We start from the raw sequence: 21,493 nt of genomic DNA, 5'->3' as shown, positions 1-21,493 counted from the left end.
TCTATGGCAATGATTCTCAATTGTGGATGATTTTGTCCCCCACGCTCACCCCAGGGACCATTTGGAGATGTCTGGAGAGACGTTTTTGATTGTCACAACTGGGAGCACTACTGCCATCTAGTGGGTAGAGGTCAAGGATGCTGTTAAACATCCTAAATAGAACAGTACCTCTGGCCCCCTACAGCAGCAAATTATGAAGTACAAAATGTCAATAGTACTGAGGTAGAGAAACCTTCCTCTAGGGAAGACCAGACGCCATATCATGAGGATTATCCAACAGCTGTATCGAGAGGTTCACATGGTAAGGAACTAAGGCCTCCTGCCCCAACAACTTGCCAGCTACAGGGGTCCTTGAGAGTGTCCTCCAGGCCCAGTGAAGCCTCAAATGACTGTAGGCCAGCTGACATCTTGACAAGTCATGAGAGATCCCAAGCCAGAGCACCCCAATTAAGCCCCTCCTGAACTTATTACCCACAGAAGCTGGGTGAGATAATACATGTTTATTGTTTTTTTCTTGTTTGTTTGAGACTGAGTCTCGTTCTGTCTCCCAGGCTGGAGTACAGTGGCACAATCTCAGCTCACTGCAACCTCTGCTTCCCAGGTTCAAGCGATTCTCCTGCCTCAGCCTCTCGAGTAGCTGGGACTACAGGTGCCTGCCACCACGCCCAGCTAATTTTTGTATTTTTAGTAGAGATGGGGTTTCACCATACTGGTCAGGCTGGTCTTGAACTCCTGACCTCAAGTGATCTGCCCACTTCGGCCTCCCAAAGTGCTGGGATTACAGGCATGAGCCACCGTGCCCAGCCAAATGTTTATTGTTGTTTTAAGCCTCTAAATATTGGGATAATTCATTAGACAGCAATAGATAACTGATACAAATTAGTGAAGTTAAAGATTTAAGGATATGATTAAAAGAAGAGAAATATAGCTTATAGTTCCCAAACTAGCAAAGGAAAATCAAAGGGGAACTATAAAAAATGTTAATAATCCAACATAAAGCAGAGAAAGAGAAAAAAAAAAAAGTACCAGAATCATAAAATATACACATATAAAGTTAAAGGTATTAGTAATCACAATAAATGCAAATGCATTAAACTCATGTACTAAAGAGGAAAAACTCAGACAATGGATTAAAAATATCCAACCACATACTTCTTACAGAAGATAATCCTGAAACAACATAGAAAGATTGAAAATAGGCCAGGCGCAGTGGCTCACACCTGTAAACCCAGCACTTCAGGAGGATGAGGTCAGTGGATCCCTTGAGTCCAGGAGTTTGAGACTAGTCTGGGCAACGTGGCAAAACTCCATCTCTACAAAAAATACAAAAATTAACCAGGCATGGTGGCACACACCTGTAGTCTCAGCTACTGGGGAGGCTGAGATGGGAGGATCACTTGAGGAGGGAGAATGGCTTGAGCTCAGGAGGCGAAGGTTGCGGTGAGCTGCGATGGCACCACTTCACTCCAGCCTGGGTGACAGAGTGAGACCCTATATCAAAAAGAGAAGAAAAATTGAAAATAAAACAGAAGCAATTACAAATTACAGAAAATACATATGAACAGAAAGCTAATAGTAAGTAGTATCAGACAAAATAGAATTTAAGGCAAAAACAGCAATAAAAGGGGAACTACAAAAAGATTAAAGGAACACAACACGTAATAATAAATGTATTTGTATTAGTTATAAAACAGCCTTGAAACATAAAACAAAGCAAAGACTGATCTACAGAGAGACATTGGCAGAAATCACAATATTGGCAGGTATTTGCAGTTGGCATTTATTGAGAAAAGACATAAATATTTATTTATGTATTAATTTATGATGTATGTATGTATTTATTTATTTATTTTGAGACAGGGTCTTGCTCTGTCACACAGGCTGGGGTGCACTGGCATGATCGCGGCTTACTGCAGCCTTGACCTCATGAGCTCCAGGGATCCTCCCACCTCTGCCTCCCAAGTAGCTGGGACCACAGGTGGGCACCACCACACCCAGCTAATTTTTAAAATTTTTTTGTAGAGATGAGATCTTGCCATGTTGCCCAGGCTGGTCTCAAACTCCTTGGTTTAAGTGGTCCTCCCACCTCAGCCTCCTAAAGTCCTGGGATTATAGATGTGAGCCATGGAGCCTGGCCAATATGTATTTAATAGATAATGCATGTGTATGTTAAAAAATTGAAAAGGTACAATACTGTTCCCTGAAATGAAAGCCTCTGTTCTGTCCATACCCCTTAGCCTCTGAGTTCCTCTCTTCAGAGGGCAATACTATTAACACTATTAACTGTTTCTTATGTATTCTTCCAGATATGAGTCCACATACTTAAATACATAATCATACATATTATTTTCCCCTTTCAAACAATAGCAAGCTACATACAGTATAATCTGGTGTCTAGCTCTGTTTAATTTTTCTAAAGTATCTTGCAGTCATTTCCATAGCAGATATGTATTGATCCATCATTCTTACTAACAAGTGCAATGTATTCCACTGCATGACCATACCATTGATAAATGTTTAGGTGCCCATCACTTTTGCTGTTATAAACAATGCTGCAATATCAGTTCAAATAATATTTCCCATAGACATGTTATTATCTACAAGAATGAATGGGATTTCTGGGTCAAAGTGTCTATACATTATAATTTTAGTATGCATTTTCAAATTGGTCTTCATTTATGTCAATTTATACTTCAATTTACAATGCATGAGAATACATTGACAACATATTCTTGACAACACAGCAAGTTTACAAACTTTTAGCTCCTTGCCAACCTAAAGCTCCATGATCTTCAAAATGAACTTGATAACCAGATTGTCATGCCTGAGATAAAAGATTTACTGGCACAGGAGATGATTAGTAAGCTATGGCCTTTATGATGTTGAGCCTTTCAATCAAGGAACATCTCTATTTATGTCAACCTGTGAGTCTTTCAAAGTGGCTTATAATTTTCCTTTTGGGTGTATTAAATATTTTTTGTTTAGTTCAAACATAAGTCATTTATTTATTAATTTATGCTATGGCAAAGGTCTTCTATTCTATCTTCTAACTGGCTTTTCTTTGTAATATATATGAAGCTATTGGGTTTTGTGTATCAGTTTTAACACATGTTATTTTATCTATTATCTTATTGTTTGTAGCAGTTGATTCTTTTGGGTTTTCCGGATACACAGTTATATCATATCCAAATAGAAATAGCTTAACCTCCTTTTTTCACAATGCTTCTCCCCCTTTCTCTTATTAACACCTATACACTGTTAAAGACAGAGAAGCTAGTGAGCGTTCTCTATTTCTGACTTTAGAAGGAACACTTTTCATAAGTAAATGCTGTCTTTTGGGCTGAAGTATGTATGTGTGTGTGTATACACACACATAAATATAGTCATATTAAGGAAGCGTCTTTCAATTCTTATTTAGAGTTAATATTAAAGGATGTTGAATTTTGTCAGATAACTCTCCTGCATTTATGGAGATCGTGATATACTTGTTCTCCTTAGTTCTTTTAGGTTTTCTGTTTTGTTTTTTGTTTGTTTGTTTGTTTAGACAGTGTCTCGCTCTGTCGTCCAGGCTGGAGTGCAGTGACACAATCATAGCTCACTGCAACCACAAACTCCTGGGCTCAAGCGATCCTCCCACCTCAGCCTCCTGGGTAACTAGGACTTGAACCACCATGCCAGGCATTTTTTTTTTTTTCAAGAGATGGAATCTCACTATGTTGCCCAGGCTGGTCTCAGACTGCTGGTCTCAAAGCAATCCTCCCACCTCACCTCCCAAAATGTGGGATTACAGACGTGAGCCACTGCACCTGGCTGCTTTTTTGCCTTAGTTCTATTAATAAGATGAATTACACTAATGAATTTTGTAATAATAAAACACCCTTGAATTTCTGGAATAAACTCTTGGTCACAATGTATTCTCTTTGCAAAGTGCTGTTGAATTTTGTTTACCAAGATTTTATTTTAAACTTATGCATCATATTCATAGAAGAGGTTGGTTTGTAGTTTTCTGCCGAGACAAGTTTTTGTCAGGTGGGACTGAAAGTACCAACTCTCTAATGATGGCTTAATCTTTCCAGTGACTAGCCCCCATCCTGAAGTTACCTAGGGGAGGCCAGCTATCAGTCAACTTGTTAGCTCTCAAAAAGTCACTTATCACTTCGGAGTTACATGCCAGAAAACAGGGAGGAAGACCAAATACTGTATATATTTCACAATATCACAAGCCCAAATGTCCGTTAAGAACAAAATGAATAAACCAGTGTGGTAAATTCAAACAATGTAATATTACATAGTAATTAAAAAAAACAAATTACTGATATATGCAACAATATGGTCAAATTTCATAGATGTTATTATAAACCAAAAAGTATCTGAAACAGGTCTCAATCAATTTAGAAGTTTATTTTGCCAAGGTTAAGGACATTCTCAGAAGACAAGAACACAGAATCATAAAAAGTCTGTGGTCTGTGTCTTTCTCCAAAGAAGAATTTGAGGGCTTCACTACTTAATGGGGAAAAGTGGACTGGAGGGAAAAGAGGGAAGGTATAGTAATCCACATGTTGCAAGAGAAAAGAAGCAGGTAGGGGAAGGGTCAATTATGTACTGGTCTCATGCTCAGTAAATTGGCACTTCACATAAGATAAGGTGAACATAGAGTAGCTACCAGTGGAGATGCTGAGTCTTTCATCTGTAGCTCTCTGCTTATGAACAAAAGGAAAGGCAGCTTCTTGCATGACTCAGCTTTCAGCTTAATTTGTTCTCCCTTTGGCCTAGTGAATTGGGGTTCTGAGTTTTTATTTCCCTTTCACATTATGCTGTATGTTACTGTATTTTTCAGAGTAATCAACACTATCTGCCACAAATGACAAACCTCCAAATTGTAGTGACTTTATATCACAAAAGTTTATTTCTCAGTCCTGTGACACTTCTCGTGGTTCGGGAAGACTTCCACCATGCTGTAGCTATACCATCCAAATCATGAAGCCTCTAAGGTAACAGGAGTAAAGATAAGACAGGAAGGTTGCCCAAGAAGTTTTTTTGGTTTCATTTTTGTTTTGATTTTGAGACAGGGTCTCACTCTGTCACCCAGACTGGAGTGCAATGGCACAATCACAGCTCACTGCAGTCTCCACCTCCCAGGCTCAAGGAATCCTCTTGCCTTGGCCTCAAGTAGCTGGGACTATAGTGCCTCTATACCAAGCTAATTTTTTATTTTTGTAGAGACAGGGTCTCATTGTTGCCCAGATTGTTCTCAGAGTCCTGGAGTCAAGCAATCCTCTCATCTCAGCTTCCCCAAATGCTGTGATTACAGGTGTGAGCCACTGCACCTAGCCAGCCCAAGAAGTTTTTAAGGGCCAGGGCCTGAAAATGGCTAATATCAGTTCCACCCACAGCTCACCAGCCAAACTTCTAGAAAGGTTGCAACCTAACTGCCTAGGCACCCAGGAAGAGAAAAGTGAACATATAGCATTATCTGTGCCACGAGTGTCCACTTAAAGTTATTAATGGAGAATGCATAACAATTGAGGAACTTCTCCTTAAGGATGTGGCAGCTCTACAAAGTAATTACAAAAATATGAACAGATGGAGGGATCCTCCCAAACTCTAACACAGAACAAATTCATATTGTTTACATGCCTACATAGAGTAGAAATGTTCTTGACCTGCATCCTTTTACTTAATGCATGGTAGTAAGCTACATTCTCACTATTCCCTTTGTAAAATAGGCTAAAGTCATGACATACTGAACACTTTCAACTAGTAGGCTATTTTCCAGCATAATCATGTACTTCTGCTGCCAGAAGTTGGGCTGTATCCTGCTTGCTATTAGTCATATGGATTTGCTCCAAAACCTGTTTTTCCAGTCGTACATGTTATACGTTACTCTAATTATGTAATTTAATTAAATATTCCTGAAGCCCCAGAAATATGAGTTCCAAAATTCAAAGAAAAGGCTTTTCTCCTTTGAAAACCCATGGCTGGGTCTGACGCTCTGAAACTTCAAATAGGCTTGTTGAAGCCATATGAACTGTAATCCAGAGTATTAAATTATGGCACCATAGGGATTTCCTCATATAATAATAGGGTAGACTCTTAAGCAGGGCTGTGGTTGCCTCACTTGCCTCGCTCCAGCTTTAAATGATATAAAAGGCAGCTAGCCTACTGCTCTAGCACTCCTGACCTAGCAGATTTTTCATTTCCAAGGGCATCTCAGACTGTCGGCCTTTGGGTGTACCACCATGAAGAATAAAGGTAGGCTTTGGGGAACCACATTTATTCATATCTTTGGTCGTGTAAATATTTTGTTCACTGCTTTCGTACAGGTTCGGTCGTGAATAAGGAATCACTTACGTGATCATTCTCACCAATCTTTGAACCTAGCCTAGACAAGCCCTTCCGTCCAGACTAGTTCAATCATACATCAAAAGATTGGTGAACATTTTTATGTTTTAAATTAAAATATTTAAAAATAATATACCATTACTAAAATGGCAATAGAGTTGTAGCAGAATTAGACCAAAAAAAAGAAGACAGCTGATTAAAAATCTCAGCTAAAATCTGTTGACTTAGAGTTACCTATTCAATACCAATAATAAGAAAGGACAGTCTTCCCTTCTGGGCATCAGGTAGAATCATCCTGGGAGCACGTAGCCTTCAGGTTCCACATCCCAGTTTGAACCTGTGGCAGTAAGTAACTATTCTATCATATATTCTTCAACCTAGAAATCTCTGCTCCCTTGAGATGACAAATCTCCGCATCCATTGTTGTGTGACTTTATAACCATCAAACGGCTTAGAGTAAGTTTGGAGATAATTAATTAAAAATCTTAAAATTTAAGATTTAGATCTTAAATATTTAATGCTTTGTCTAGAAAATGGCCTTGTATGTTTATTATTTAAAATGTTATGCTTAAGAAAATATATCAGTGGGGCGCAGTGGCTCATTCCTATAATCTCAGCACTTTGGGAAGCCGAGGCAGGCGGATGGCTTGAGCTCAGAAGGTCAAGACCAGCCTGGGCAACATGGTGAAACCCCGTCTCTACAAAAAATACAAAAATTAAACGGGTGTAGTGGCATGTGTCTGTAGTCCCAGCTATCGGTGGGGGGTGGGGTGCTGAGGCAGGAGGATTGCTTGAGCCAGGGAGGTGGAAGTTGCAGTGAGCCCTGATCCTGCCACTGCACTCCAGCTGGGCAGCACAGAAAAACCCTGTCTCGAAAAAAAAAAAAAAAGTAGGCACCTCGTTTGGAAAGTTTAACTGTAAAAGGAAAGACAGGAATAGGAAAAGAAGTTCAGAATTTCCCTCCCTGCCAGTTCTTTTCTTCTTCTGTCATTTGTTTTTTTGAGACTAGGTCTTGCTATGTTGCCTAGGGTAGTCTCAAATACCTGATCTCAAGTGATCCTCCTGCCTCAGCTTCCTGTGTCGCTGGGATTCAAGGTGCTCACCACTGCATCCAGCTCTCTCCTTAGGATAATCCTGAACTTTAAGGTTCCTAACTTTAAACTCAACTCACTTCTTTCCTCACCATGAATCTCTTTCTTGATTTGTATTTTGTATCTCAGGAAATGTCATGATTCCGTATCCATTTGATAACTAAGACCTGTCGATTCTACTTCTGGAATTCATCCCTTCCCACTCCACCTCTTTTAACACACCAATAGCTTCCTAACGGGTCTCTCTGCCTCCTTTCTTACTTCAATGCACGTGGGAAACTGCAGGCTACTTCTCCAGTCTCATCCCTCCCCATTCCTCTCCCCTTGCAGCATACCTGCAAAGTCTTCACTGCCGCATCCTTGCGCATGTCTCCTTATTGCCCCACGTTCTTCTGCTCTCTCCTCCATTACCACTTCTTCCATTTGTCTCATCTCTTAAAACTCAGCTTAGATGTCGCCTTCATTAGGAAGTGTCCCAAATTTATTTTAGGGCTGATAGATCTTTTCTATTTTGGTCATCGTACGGTAGTTTAGTATTTAGATTGTATTATAAATGTTAGTTTGCTTATTTCTCCACTAGACTGTCCTTCGGGGCCTCTTTTGTATTCATTTCTGTATCCTTATTGTTGGTCCATACCTGGCAAGGAGTGGGCATTCCAATGATACACACTGAGAGCAAATGCTGTGTTCTTAATAAAGTCTTGTTGGAGAATCCCATATACACTCTTCTCCTCAATACACAGCCTTTTCTTAGCCCAGTACAGCTCTGAGCAATCTCCTTTTCCTTCTTCGCTTCAGTATTTCAGCCTACTTTTTGCTCCCTTGTTTATCCTTTGGAAATCCTCTCCCCCAAAGTCAACTTTCAGACTAAGTCACAGATTCCTCAGTTTCCTACTTTCTTGCTTCTTTGTACTGGTTATCTATTGCTGCATAACAAATTACTTAGGAGTGTAACACAAAAATAAACATTTACTACTATATACAATTTTTCTGAGTCAGGAAGTTAAAAGTAGCTTAAGTGCATGTTTCTGGGCCAGGCACGGTGGCTTACACCTGTAATCCCAGCACTTTGGGAGGCCAAGGCAGGTGTATCACTTGAGTCCAGGAGTTTGAGACCAACATGAGCAACATGGAGAAACCCCAACTCTACACAAAATACAAAAAATTATCTGGGTGTGGTGGCATGCACCTGTAGTCCCAGCTACTTGGGAGGCTGGTGGGAGGGTGGCTTGAGCCTGGGAAGCGTAGGTTGCAGTGACCAAGATTGTACCACTGCACTCAAGCCTGGGCAACACAGCAAAACCCTGTCTCAAAAAAGAAAAAGAAAAAGAAACAGAAAAGTGGGTGTTCTGGCTCAGGGTCTCTTATAAGGCTATAGTCAAGATATTAGCTGGGGCTGCAGTCACTTAAGGCTTGTTGGGACTGGAGGATCCCATTTCAAGATAGCTGACTCAAAGGAATGGTGAATTGGTACAGGTTGTTGTCAAAAGGCCTCAGTTCCTTGCTGTGTGGACTTCGCCTTAGGGCTACTTAAGTATCCTCACAACATGGCAGATGGATTCTTCAAGAGCAAATGACCCAAGACAGGGAAAGATAGAGGCCACAATCTCTTTTATGGCCTAACGTTAAAGTTCAAATCTATCATTTTCTCAACATCCTGTTGGTTGCACAGGTCAGCCCTATTCAACATAGGACAGTGCTACTTGAAGATGTCAATGTTGGGAGAAAGAATGATTGGGGGCCATCTTGAAGGCCATCACACCCACTTTGAAGATTAGCATACCAGTAGTTATTCTTTGGTAGGTTTAAAATAGATACCAGAAGGAATTGAGGATTAACAAAGGTTGAGCATTCATTACATGTTAGACACTTCACATACATTGTTTAAGTTTTAAAAACAAAAGTATAGCACCATCTGTTCACCTCAGAAGTAGAATTTAAATTCATGATTATATGGCCCCAAAGCCTATGCTTTCCATTTTGACCTTTTTTATTATGAGTATAATATACATAGAGAAATTTTAGAAAACACAAATAGGCTGAATGCAGTGGCTCAAGCCTGTAATCCCAGCACTTTGGGAGGCTGACGCAGGCGGATCACCTGAGGTCAGGAGTTTGAGACCAGCCTGGCCAACATGGTGAAACCCCATCTCTACTAAAAATACAAAAATTAGCCAGGTGTGGTGGCGTGTGCCTGTAGTCCCAGCTACTTGGGAGTCTGAGGCAGGAGAATCGCCTGAACCCAGGAGACGGAGGTTGTAGTGAGCCGAGATCGTGCCATCGCACTGTAGCCTGGATGACAAAGCGAGATGCCATCTCAAAATAAATAAATAAATAAATAAATAAAATATTTTCAGCATTCCAGAAGCCTTGCACATGACTCTTCCCAGTCCCTACCCTATACCTCCCAACTATATTAAGCACTATCCTGACTTGTATGGCAACCACATCCTTGTTTTCCATTACAGACTTACTACTTCAGTATATATCCCTAAATATTACAATTTGTTTTTTCTTGTATTTCAGTCATATAAATGATATGATACATTATATATTATTTGACATAATGTAAAAGAATTTACATCATGTACTTACATAAGGTAATTTATTTCAACATCATTATAATTGCTTCATATTAATTATTGTACAGTATTGCATTGTATGAATATACCACAATTAATTTATCCATTCTGCTGTTAATAGATATTTGGGTGGTTTCTAGGTTGTGACTATTACAAATAATGCTGCTATGTGTATTTGTTTTTCTATAGAGCATATACTTAGAAGTGAATTTGGGGCCGGATGTGATGGCTCATGCCTATAATACCAGCACTTTGGGAGATGTAAGTGGGAGTATCCCTTGAGTTCAGGAAGTCGAGGCTACAGTGAGCCATTACAGCACCATTGCACTGCACCCCAGCCTGGGTGACACAGTGCGATCCAGTCAAAAAACAAACAAACAAACAAAAAAACCACAAGAAAAAAGAAGTGAATTTTTGACTCAAAGAATATAAAGAATATATGGTTCTATAACTTTATTAGATAAGTCTAAACTATTTGTTAAAGTGTTGTATCCAATTTTTTTCTCCTAGTATTAAAGAGTTCCAATTATTCCATATTCTTGCCAAAACCTAGTATTGTTCTTCTCTCTGATTTAGGCATTATGCTGGAGTATAAAGACATAACATTGCAGTTTTAATATGCAATATCTTGATTACTAATGTTTGATCACTTTTTCATATATTTATTTAAATTATGTCTGTATATATATGTAATGTTATATGCACACACACACACACACACACACACACATATACCATTTGAATTGAATTTTCTCTTTGGTGAAGTGCCTTTTCAAGTCTTGATCATTTTTTTCTTTTCTTTTTTTATATTTTATTTTTTATATTTTTTTAAGACAGGGTCTCGCCCTGTCACTAAGGTTGGAGTGCAGTGGCTCGATCTCAGCTCACTGCAGCCTCTGCCTCCCGGGTTCAAGCAGTTCTCCTGCCTCAGCCTCCCAATTAGCTGGGACTAGAGACACATGCCACCGTGCCCAGCTGATTTTTGTATTTTTTTAGTAGAGACAGGGTTTTGCCATGTTGGCCAGGCTGGTCTCAAACTCCTGGCCTTAAGCAGTCCACGGGCCTTGGTGTCCCAAAGTGCTGGGACTACAGGCATGAGCCACCACGCCCGGCCTTGATCATTTTTATTCTACTGGGTTTTTTTTTTTTATGTGTTCTTTGAATATGGTGGTTATGAACCTATTGTTATCTGTGTTTTAAATACCTCTCCCTTTTGTAATTTGTCTTCTACTCTCTCAGTGGTACCTTTTAATGAGTAGAAATTATTAATTTTAGTGTAGTTATTTATATCAATCTTTTTCGTTGTAGGTGGTGCTTTTTGTGTCCTTATAAATATTTTCCTAATCCAAGGTCCTGATAATATTTTCCTAATACTATCTTTGGGGAGAAACAAATCTGAGGACTGATTTCCTCCTCCCTCTGGTAACTTAGCTCAGTATACAAGCAAGCTGACAGCAGAAACTGAACTCCAAAAGATCCTCCTTTGCAAAAAAGACTACTTTCTGGCCCAGGAAGCTCCACTATTACACAGTAGACTGACTGCTGTCCCCACTTCCCTAGAATAATGTAGAGCATTAAGGTGGTGATGTCCTTGTCAACTGGATTCCTTTCCATGCTTCACTGTGTGTGCCCTTTTTACTTCTTACCTTGTATGTTTTTCCGCTAACATTTCCCATTTTATACTTGCACACTGAACACTAGTGGTATTATTGTTTTGCCTCATATTCATGTCTCCAATCCACATGGATATTTTTTTTCATATTTGGTGTAAAGTAGTAATCCCAATGTAATCTGTTGAAAAAGTTGTCCTCACATTACCACTCTATAACGCCACTTTTGTCTAAAAGCAGGTGCATGGATCTGTTTTGGGTCCCTCTATTCTGTTCCATTGGCCTAGTTGTCAATCTCTTTGCTAACACCACATTTTAAAATAATGCTTGATGTACCATAGAACAAATGCTGATATCATTTTCCTTCCTCAAAACTTTTTGCTTATTCTTGGTCATTTGCATCCCATGTAAAATTTGAAAAAGTTTCTCAAATTCCGCTCCAAAAAAATGGTTAGTATTTTGATTGAGTCTGAATTGATAAATATATTGATTTAGGATGAACCGACATCTTTACAATATTGAGTTTTCAAAATTCATAAACCTGATACCTCTCCATTTATTTAAGTCTTTAAAAATTTTCTTCCAGGCATGGTGGCTCACGCCTGTAATCCCATCACTTTCAGAGGCCAAGGTGGAGCAGATCACCTGAGGTCAGGAGTTCCAGATCAGCCTGGCCAATATGGCAAAACCCCATCTCTACTAAAAATACAAAAATTAGCTGAGTGTGGTGGCGTGTGGCTGTAATCCCAACTACTTGAGAGACTGAGGCAGGAAAATCGCTTGAATCTGGGAGGCAGAGGTTGCAGTGAGCCGAGATCCTGCCACTGCACTCCAGCCTGAGCAACAGAGCAAGACTCCATCTCAAAAAAAAAAAAAAAAGGGCCGGGGACAGTGGCTCTCGCCTGTAATCCCAGCACTTTGGGAGGCCGAGGCAGGCAGATCATGAGGTCAAGAGATCAAGACCATCCTGGCTAACATGGTGAAACCCCGTCTCTACTAAAAATTAAAAAGAAAAAAAAATTAGCCGGTCATAGTGGTGGGCGCCTGTAGTCCAAGCTACTTGGGAGACTGAGGCAGGAGAATGGTGTGAACCCGGGAGGTGGAGCTTGCAGTGAGCCAAGATCGCTCCACTGCATTCCAGCCTGGGTGACAGAGCAAGACTCTGTCTCAAAAAAAAAAAAAAAAAAAATCCCAATAAAGTTTTGTGTTTTCCATGTAGAGTCTTCCACATATTATTAGATTTGTCCCTAGAGACGTGATATTTTTGATGTTATTTAAATGTTATTGTAAATATATAACCAGGTTACATTTGATTGAATATTAAAAATTTGGCTGGACGCGGTGACTCACACCTGTAATCTCAGCACTTTGGGAGGCTGGGGCAGGCAGATCACCTGAGGTCAGGAGTTCGAGACCAGCCTGGCCAATATGGTGAAATTCCACCTCTACTAAAAAATACAATAATTAGCTGGGTGTGATGGCGGGCGCCTGTAATCGCAGCTACTCAGGAGGCTGAGGCAGGAAAATCGCTTGAACCCCGTAGGCGTAGGTTGCAGTGAGCCGAGATCACACCACTGCACTCCAGCCTGGGTGACAGAGCAAGACTCCATCTCAAAAATAAATAAATAAATAAATAAATAAATAAATTTCACTTATTTATTCTACTTGTGAGGTAAAGAAAAAAATTTTAAATAGTGTATTTTTTAAAATTTTATTTCGTTGGCTGGGTGCAGTCCCTTACACCTATAATCCCAGTGCTATGGGAGGCTGAGATAGAAGGATTACTCAAGCCCAGGAGTTTGAGACCAGCCTAGGCAACATAGCAAGACCCTGTCTCTACAAGAAAAATTAAAATTAAAAAAAATTAGCTGGGCATGGTGGTGTAAGCCTGTAGTCACAGCTACTGCCAGTACTTTGGGAGGATGAGGCAGGAAGATCACTTGACCCCAGGAGTTTGAGGTTACAGTGAGTTATGTTCATCCTTGTAAATAGCCACCATGCTTTAGCTTGGGCAACATAGTGAGACTCTGTCTCTTAAAAAAAAATTCATCTTATTTATGGCTGATACATGGTAATGCAATTCATTGCTGTACACTGATATTGTGTTCAGAAACAAAGCAAAACTCTCATGAATTCTAATAATTCCTTTTGTAATAACATCATCTGTAGATAATGACTTGATTATTGTTTTCAGTCATATATTTTGCTTTCCTTGCCTCATTGGCCTGGCTAGGGTCTTCCATTGTACTGTAGGACAGTATCGATGTGCTTCCAATATCAAAGGGAAAAATAATAATTTTCACCATGTTTACTATAGTTTTTTTTTACATCCTTTATCAGGTTAAAATAGTTTCCTCTATTTTTACTTTGCTAGGAGATGTTAAAATCTTTAATGAATTGGCTTTTATCAAAGACTATTTGATAAAAGACTATCTTGATCTACTGAGATCATCATATGATTTTCTTTTCTATTTATTTATTTTTTTTGAGACAGAGTCTCACCCTGTCGCCCAGGCTGGAGTGCAGTGGGGCAATCTCAGCTCATTGCAACCTCCACGTCCCGGGTTCAAGCAATTCTCCTGCCTCAGCCTCCTGAGTAGCTGGCATTACAGGCGGATGCCACCATGCCCGGCTAATTCTTGTATTTTTAGTAGAGATGAGGTTTCGCCATGTTGGCCAAACTGGTTTCGAACTCCTGACCTCATGATCCACCTGCCTCGACCTCCCAAAGTACTGGGATTACAGGCGTGAGCCACTGTGCCCGGCCGATCATATGATTTTCTTTAATCTGTTAATGTGTCGAAGGACATTGGCTGATTTTTCAAATGTCTAACCTTCCATTCCTAAAATAATGCCAATTTGGTCATATGCATTACCTTTTTAAATATATTGCTATATTCAGTTTGCTAATATTTGCATCTGTTTTTGGTAAATTGTATTTATTTATTTTTGAGACAATGTCTCACTTTGTCACTCAGATTGGAATGCAGTGGTGCAATCCCGGCTCACTGCAACTTCCGTCTCCCGGGTTCAAGTGATTCTCCTGCCTCAGCCTCCCAAGTAGCTGGGATTACAGGTGTGTGCCACCATGCCCAGCTGATTTTTGTAATTTTAGTAGAGACAGGGTTTTCCCAAGTTGGCCAGGCTGGTCTTGAACTCCTGGCCCCAAGTGATCCACCCCCCTCAGCCTCCCAACGTGTTGGGATTACAGGTGTGAGCCCCTGCACTTGGCCAAATTGCAATTTTTCTAGGAATTTTAAATTTCATCTAAATTTTTTTTTTTTTTTTTGAGATGGAGTCTCACTCTGTCACCCAGGCTGGAGCGCAGTGGTGCGATCTCAGCTCACTGCAAGCTCCGCCTCCTGGGTTCACGCCATTCTTCTGCCTCAGCCTCCTAAGTAGCTGGGACTACAGGCGCCCAGCACCACGCCTGGCTAATTTTTTGTATTTTTCAGTAGAGAAGGGGTTTCACTGTGTTAGCCAGGATGGTCTCGATATGACCTTGTGATCCACCTGCCTCGGCCTCCCAAAGTGTTGGGATTACAGGCGTGAGCCACCGTGCCTGGCTGTAAATTTTCAAATATGTGGCCTGAAGTTGGCTTCCTAATACCTCTCTCTTATTTTTAATGTCTGCATGATGTGTAAAATTTTTTCTTATTCTTGATATGAATTATTTGTGTCTTTTCTGTTTTTTCTTTAAATGCCAATCTTTTAAATTTTATAAGTTTATCAAAGTGCCAGTTTTTGGCTTTGTGGATCACTCTATTGTATTTTTATTTTATATTTCATTTATTTCTACTCTTATCTTTATCCCCTTCCTTCTACTTCTTTTATTTTGCCATTCTTTTCCTAACTTAATGAGATATATACTTGGCTTATTTTTAATCTTACTTCTTTCCCAATAAGTGCATTTAATTCTATAAATTTCCCTCTAATTACTTCTTTAGCTGTTTTCCGTCAGTTGTGAAATGTTGTATCTTCATCATTATTGTGATTTCTTCTTGACCCTTGGTTTATTTCAAAGTGTATTTATTAATTTCCAAATGTATGGTGATTTTCCAATTATCTTTTTGCCTTTACTTCCAGTTAAATTGCAATGTGGTCAGAGAACATATTCTGTAATTTCAGTCCTCTGAAATTATATTGAGGCTTGCTCTATGAGTAGTACAAGATCAAATTTCTAACTGCTCAGGAATGGTTTTAAAAATATATATTCTACATTTGTTTGTCTACTAGGTCAAATTTGTGAACTGTATTGTTCAAATCTCTTATGTACTTACTGATCTTCTGCCTGTTTGTTAAATTAGTTACTGTGAGAAGTGTATTAAAAATCTCCCACAAAAAAAATTCCTACAAAAATTGCAGATTTGTCAATTTCCTTTGTAGAACTGTCAAATGTTATGTACTTTAAGGCTTTGTTATTAGGTGCACAGAAACAGAATTGTTCCATCTTCCTGGGGATTTACTCCTCAATATTAAGAGAGTCTTCTATCTTTAGTGGGTTCCCCACCCAAATGCTACATAGGTTGAGTATTCCTAATCCAAAAATCTGAAATGCTTCAAAATTCAAAACTTTTACTTTCCCATAAGTTATTGGGGTACAGGTGGTATGTGGTTACATGAATAAGTTCTTTAATGGTGACTTGTGAGATTTCTTTGCACCCATCACCCGAGCAGTATACACTGCACCATATTCGTAGTCTTTTATCCCTCGCACCCCTCCCACCCTTCCCCCCAAGTTCCCAAAATCCATTGTATATGCCTTTGCATCCTCATAGCTTAGCTTCCACATATCACTGAAAACACACGATGTTTGGTTTTCCATTCCTGAGTTAATTCACTTAAAATAATAGTCTCCAATCTCATCCAGGTTGCTGCAAATGCCGTTAATTCTTTCCTTTTTATGGCTGAGTAGTAGACCATCATATAAATATACTGCAGTTTCTTTATTCACTGATTGATGGGCATTTGGGTTGGTTCCATGATTTTGCAATTGTGAATTGTGCTGTTATAAATATGTGTGTGCAAGTATCTTTTTCATATGATGACTTTTTTTCCGAGTAGATACCCAGTACTGGGAATGCTGGATCAAATGGTAGTTCTACTTTTAGCTCTTTAAGAAATCTCCACACTGTTTTCCATAGTGGTTGTAATAGTTTACGTTCCCACCAGCAGTGTAAAAGTGTTCCCTGTTCACCACATCCACACCAACACCGACGTTTTTTGATTATGGTCATTCTTGCAGGAGTAAGGTGGTATTGCATTGATGTTTTGATTTGCATTTCCCTGATCATTAGTGATGTTGAGCATTTTCTCATATGTTTGTTGGCCATTGTATATCTTCTTTTGAGAATTGTCTATTCATGTCCTTAGCCCACTTTTTGATGGAATTGTTTGTTTTTTTCTTACTGATTTGTTTGAGTTCTTTGTAGATTCTGGATATTAGCCCTTTGTCAGATGTATAGATTATGAAGATTTTCTCCCACTCTGTGGGTTGTCTATTCACTCTGCTGACTGTTCCTTTTGCTGTGCAAAAGCTCTTTAGTTTAATTAAGTCTCAACTCTTTATTTTTGTTTTTATTGCATTTGCTTTTGGGTTCTTGGTCATGAAATCCTTGCCCAAAGCAACTTTCAAAACTTTTTGAGCACCAGCATGATATTCAAAGGAAATGCTCATTGGAGCATTTTGGATTTCAGGTTTTTGGATTAAGGATGCTCAGCTGCTAAGTATAATGTAAATACAGTTGATGCTTGCACAACATGGGTTTGAACTGCAGGAGTTCACTTATACACAGATTTTCTTCTGCCTCTGCCACCACTCCTAAGACAGTAAGACCAACCTGCTCATTCCTCCTTCCCTTCAGTATGAAGATCATGAGGACAAAGACCTATATGAACATCCACTTCCACTTGATGAATAGTATTTTCTCTTCCTTCTGATTTTCCTAATAACATTCTTTTCTCTAGCTTACTTTATTATAAGAATATAGAATATGATACATATAATATACAAAACACATGTTAATTGACTTTACGTTATTGGTAAGGCGTCTGGTCAACAGTAGGCTGTTAGTAGTTACATTTTGGGGGAGTCAAAAATTATACTTGGACTCAGGGGCTTGGTGCCCCTAACCCTGAGTTGTTCAAGGGCCAATTACATTCTAAGATCTGGAAAAAGAAATCCAAAATCCAAAACATTTCTGGTACCAAGCATTTCTGATAAGGGATACTCAACCTGTACCAGCTTTGTCTTGGCTAGTGTTTACAAAGTGCATCTTTTCCAAACGTTTGCTTTAAAGATAGATATATATATATTTTTTTTTTTTTTTTTTTTTTTTTTTTTTTTGGGATGGAGTCTCGCTCTGTAGCCCAGGCTGGAGTGCAGTGGTGCAATCTCAGCTCACTGCAACCTCTGACTCCCGGGTTCCAGCGATTCTCCTGCCTCAGCCTTGGGAGTAGCTGGGATTACAGGTGCGTGCCACCACAACCGGCTAATTTTTTGTATTTTTAGTAGAGACGGGGTTTCGCCATCTTAGCCAGGATGGTCTCGATTTCCTGACCTCGTGATCCGCCTGCCTCGGCCTCCCAAAGTGCTGGGATTACAGGTGTAAGCCACTGCACCTGGCCCATTTTTGTATATTTCTTAAATGTGTTCTTCTAACTAGTTAAAAAACTTCTGGACTGACAATTATCTTTTACCTGGAATAGTTAACCCATTAATCTTTAATGTAATTGCTTTTATGTTTGTTTTTAAATGTTTATCTTACAGCATGCTTTCTATTATCCCACTGATTCTATGTCCCCTCTTCTGTCTTGTTCTCTGGAGGATTTTTTTAATCTTAGTTTGAAAGTTATAGAGTCTTTTAATATTTGACTAGTGACTACCCTAGAAATTAGGACATGCATCTCTGACCTTTCTGTGATCATTTTCTTCTTTCTCAAGATATCATTTAGTATTTCCTTTAATGAAGATCTACCCATTGTTAATTCCCTCAGTTATTATTTGCTATTAGCTATAATTTTATTTAAGTATGGGTAAGACATCAACCTGCTATCTTCTGATTTCCTTTTTTGCTGTTGAAAAGTAAATATTCGCTGGGTGCAGTGGCTCACGCCGGTAATCCCAGCACTTTGGGAGGCCCAGGTGGGTGGATCACGAGGTCAGGAGTTCGGGACCAGTCTGGCCAACATGGCAAAACCCCATCTCTACTAAAAATACAACTAACTGGGCATCGTGGTGTGCGCCTGTAATCCCAGCTACTCAGGAGGCTGAGGCAGGAGAATCACCTGAATGCGTAAGGTGGAGGTTGCAGTGAGCCAAGATCGCAGCACTGCACTCCAGCCTGGGAGACAGAGTGAGACTCCTTCTAAAAAAAAAAAAAAAAAAAAAAAAAAAGGCCCGGGCGCGGTGGCTCACACCTGTAATCCCAGCACTTTGAGAGGCCGAGGCAGGTGGATCATGAGGTCAGGAGATCAAGACCATTCTGGCTAACAAGGTGAAACCCCATCTCTACTAAAAATATAAAAATTATCTGGGCGTGGTGGCGGGCACCTCTAGTCCCAACTACTCGGGAGGCTGAGGCAGGAGAATGGCATGAGCCCGGGAGGCGGAGCTTGCAGTGAGCCGAGATTGTGCCACTCCCCTCCAGCCTGGGCAAGAGAGCAAGACTCTGTCTCAAAAAAAGAAAAAAGAAAAGTAAACATTCAGCCAGGCGCAGTGGCTCATGCCTATAATCCCAGCACTTTGAGAGGCTGAGGCTAGGAGATCATGAGATCACGAGATCAAGAGATAGAGACCATCCTGGCCAACACGGTGAAACCCTGTCTCTACTAAAAATACAAAAATTAGCTGGGCATGGTGGCATACACCTGCAGTCCCAGCTACTCAGGAGGCTGAGGCAGGAGAATCGCTTGAACCTGGAAGGCGGAGGTTGCAGTCAGCTAAGATCACACCACTGCACTCCAGTGGCAAGACTCCATCTCAAAAAAAAAAAAAAAAAGTAAACATTTATCTTATATTTGCTCCTATGAAGGCAATCTAATGTTTTTCTCTGCCTCCTTTAAGATTTTCTCTTTGATCTTCTTCTGTAGTTTCACTATGATGTGTCTTGCATGATTTTAAAATGTATCCTACTTGGGCTTTGTTGAACTTCTTGAATCTATGGATCGATATGTTTCTTAAATTTTAGAAAATTTTCATCTATGATCTCTTCAGAGATTGGTTTGACCCCATTCTCTTTTCTTTCTGAAATTTCAACTACAATTATTTTGGATTTCTCTCTGAATTCTGTCTGTCCCTCACTGTCTGTGCTGGATATCTCCAATTTCTCCCTTCTCCAATCCTCTATTCTGTGTCCTAAGAGGCAGATATTTATTTATTTATTTATGTTTTAGATGGAGTCTTGCTCTGTTGCCTAGGCTGGAGTGCAGTGGTGCAATCTCAACTCATCGCAACCTCTGCCACCCGGTTCAAGCGATTCTCCTGCCTCAGCCTCCTGAGTAGCTGGAACTACAGGCGCCTGTCACCATGCTTGGCTACTTTTGGTATTTTTAGTAGAGACGGGGTTTCACCATGTTGGCCAGGCTGGTCTCGAACTCCTGACGTCAGGTGATCCTCCCGCCTCGGCCTCCCAAAGAGCTGGGATTACAGGCGTGAGCCACCGTGCCTGGCCTAGACACTGTAATTTAAAAAATATTTGTAAAAGCAACTTGTGAACATAGGTAATTTGTTGTATGTCCCTTCAAGGATAATTTACATTTGCTTCTGCTAGGTAGCAGTGGCATTAATATGACACCGTTAGGTCTTACAACATGACTTCATGTCATTAGCATGACATCAAGATGGCTGCAGTCTTTGCAAGGCTTTCCTTACTCTAAGTTCATGTTTTCTTCTAGAGAGCAGTCCTTTAGTGTCTCAAAAGTAAGTCTGGGGCCAGGCACGGTGGCTCATGCCTGTAATCCCAACACTTTGGGAGGCCGAGGCAGGCAGAGTACTCGAGGTCAGGAGTTCGAGAACAGCGAGGTCAGGAGCATAAGACCAGCCTGGCCACCATGGTGAAACCTCGTCTCTACAAAAATACAAAAATTTAGCTGGGCACGGTGGCGCATGACTGTAATCCCATCTGCTCAGGAGGCTGAGGCAGGATAATCACTTGAAGCCGGGAGGTGGAGGTTGCAGTGAGCTGAGATTGGGCCACGACACTCCAGCCTGAGTGACAGAGCAAGGCTCCGTCTCAAAAAAAACAAAGTAAACAAAAATACCCCAAAAAACAACAACAAAAAAACTAAGTTTGGGATGGCAAATCAGGCCCCCTTCCTTTGGCAGACTCGGCTCCACCTTTTATCCCTTAAATCACCCAAAAGTGGTGCTCAAATCTCACCTGTCTTTCAGCATTAGCAAACAGCTTCTTTTATTCCAAATGGTGGTCTCATCTCTCTAGATTTCAGCCTTCTCTCAAATTTTGGCCCAGTAATTTCTCATTACCTTGTTATTTCTTTTATGGTTTTTATGTTTTAAAAAGTTTCAAAATGTAGGCCGGGCGCAGAGGCTGACGCCTGTAATCCCAGCGCTTTGGGAGGCCGAGACGGGCGGATCATGAGGTCAGGAGATCGAGACCATCCTGGCTAACACGGTGAAACCCTATCTCTACTAAAAATGCAAAAAAATTAGCCAGGCATAGTGGCAGGTGCCTGTAGTCCCAGCTACTCGGGAGGCTGAGGCAGGAGAATGGCGTGAACCCGGGAGGCGGAGCTTGCAGTGAGCCGAGATTGTGCCAATGCACTCCAGCCTGGGCGACTGAGTGAGACTCCATCTCAAAAAAAAAAAAAGTTTCAAAGTGTTTTGTCAAACATCTTCATTATCTTCAGA

This window comes from Homo sapiens, chromosome 15 (assembly GCF_000001405.40).
Source record: "Homo sapiens chromosome 15, GRCh38.p14 Primary Assembly".
NCBI classification, from domain to species: domain Eukaryota; kingdom Metazoa; phylum Chordata; class Mammalia; order Primates; family Hominidae; genus Homo; species Homo sapiens.
Note: the sequence above shows the minus strand (reverse complement) of the source record.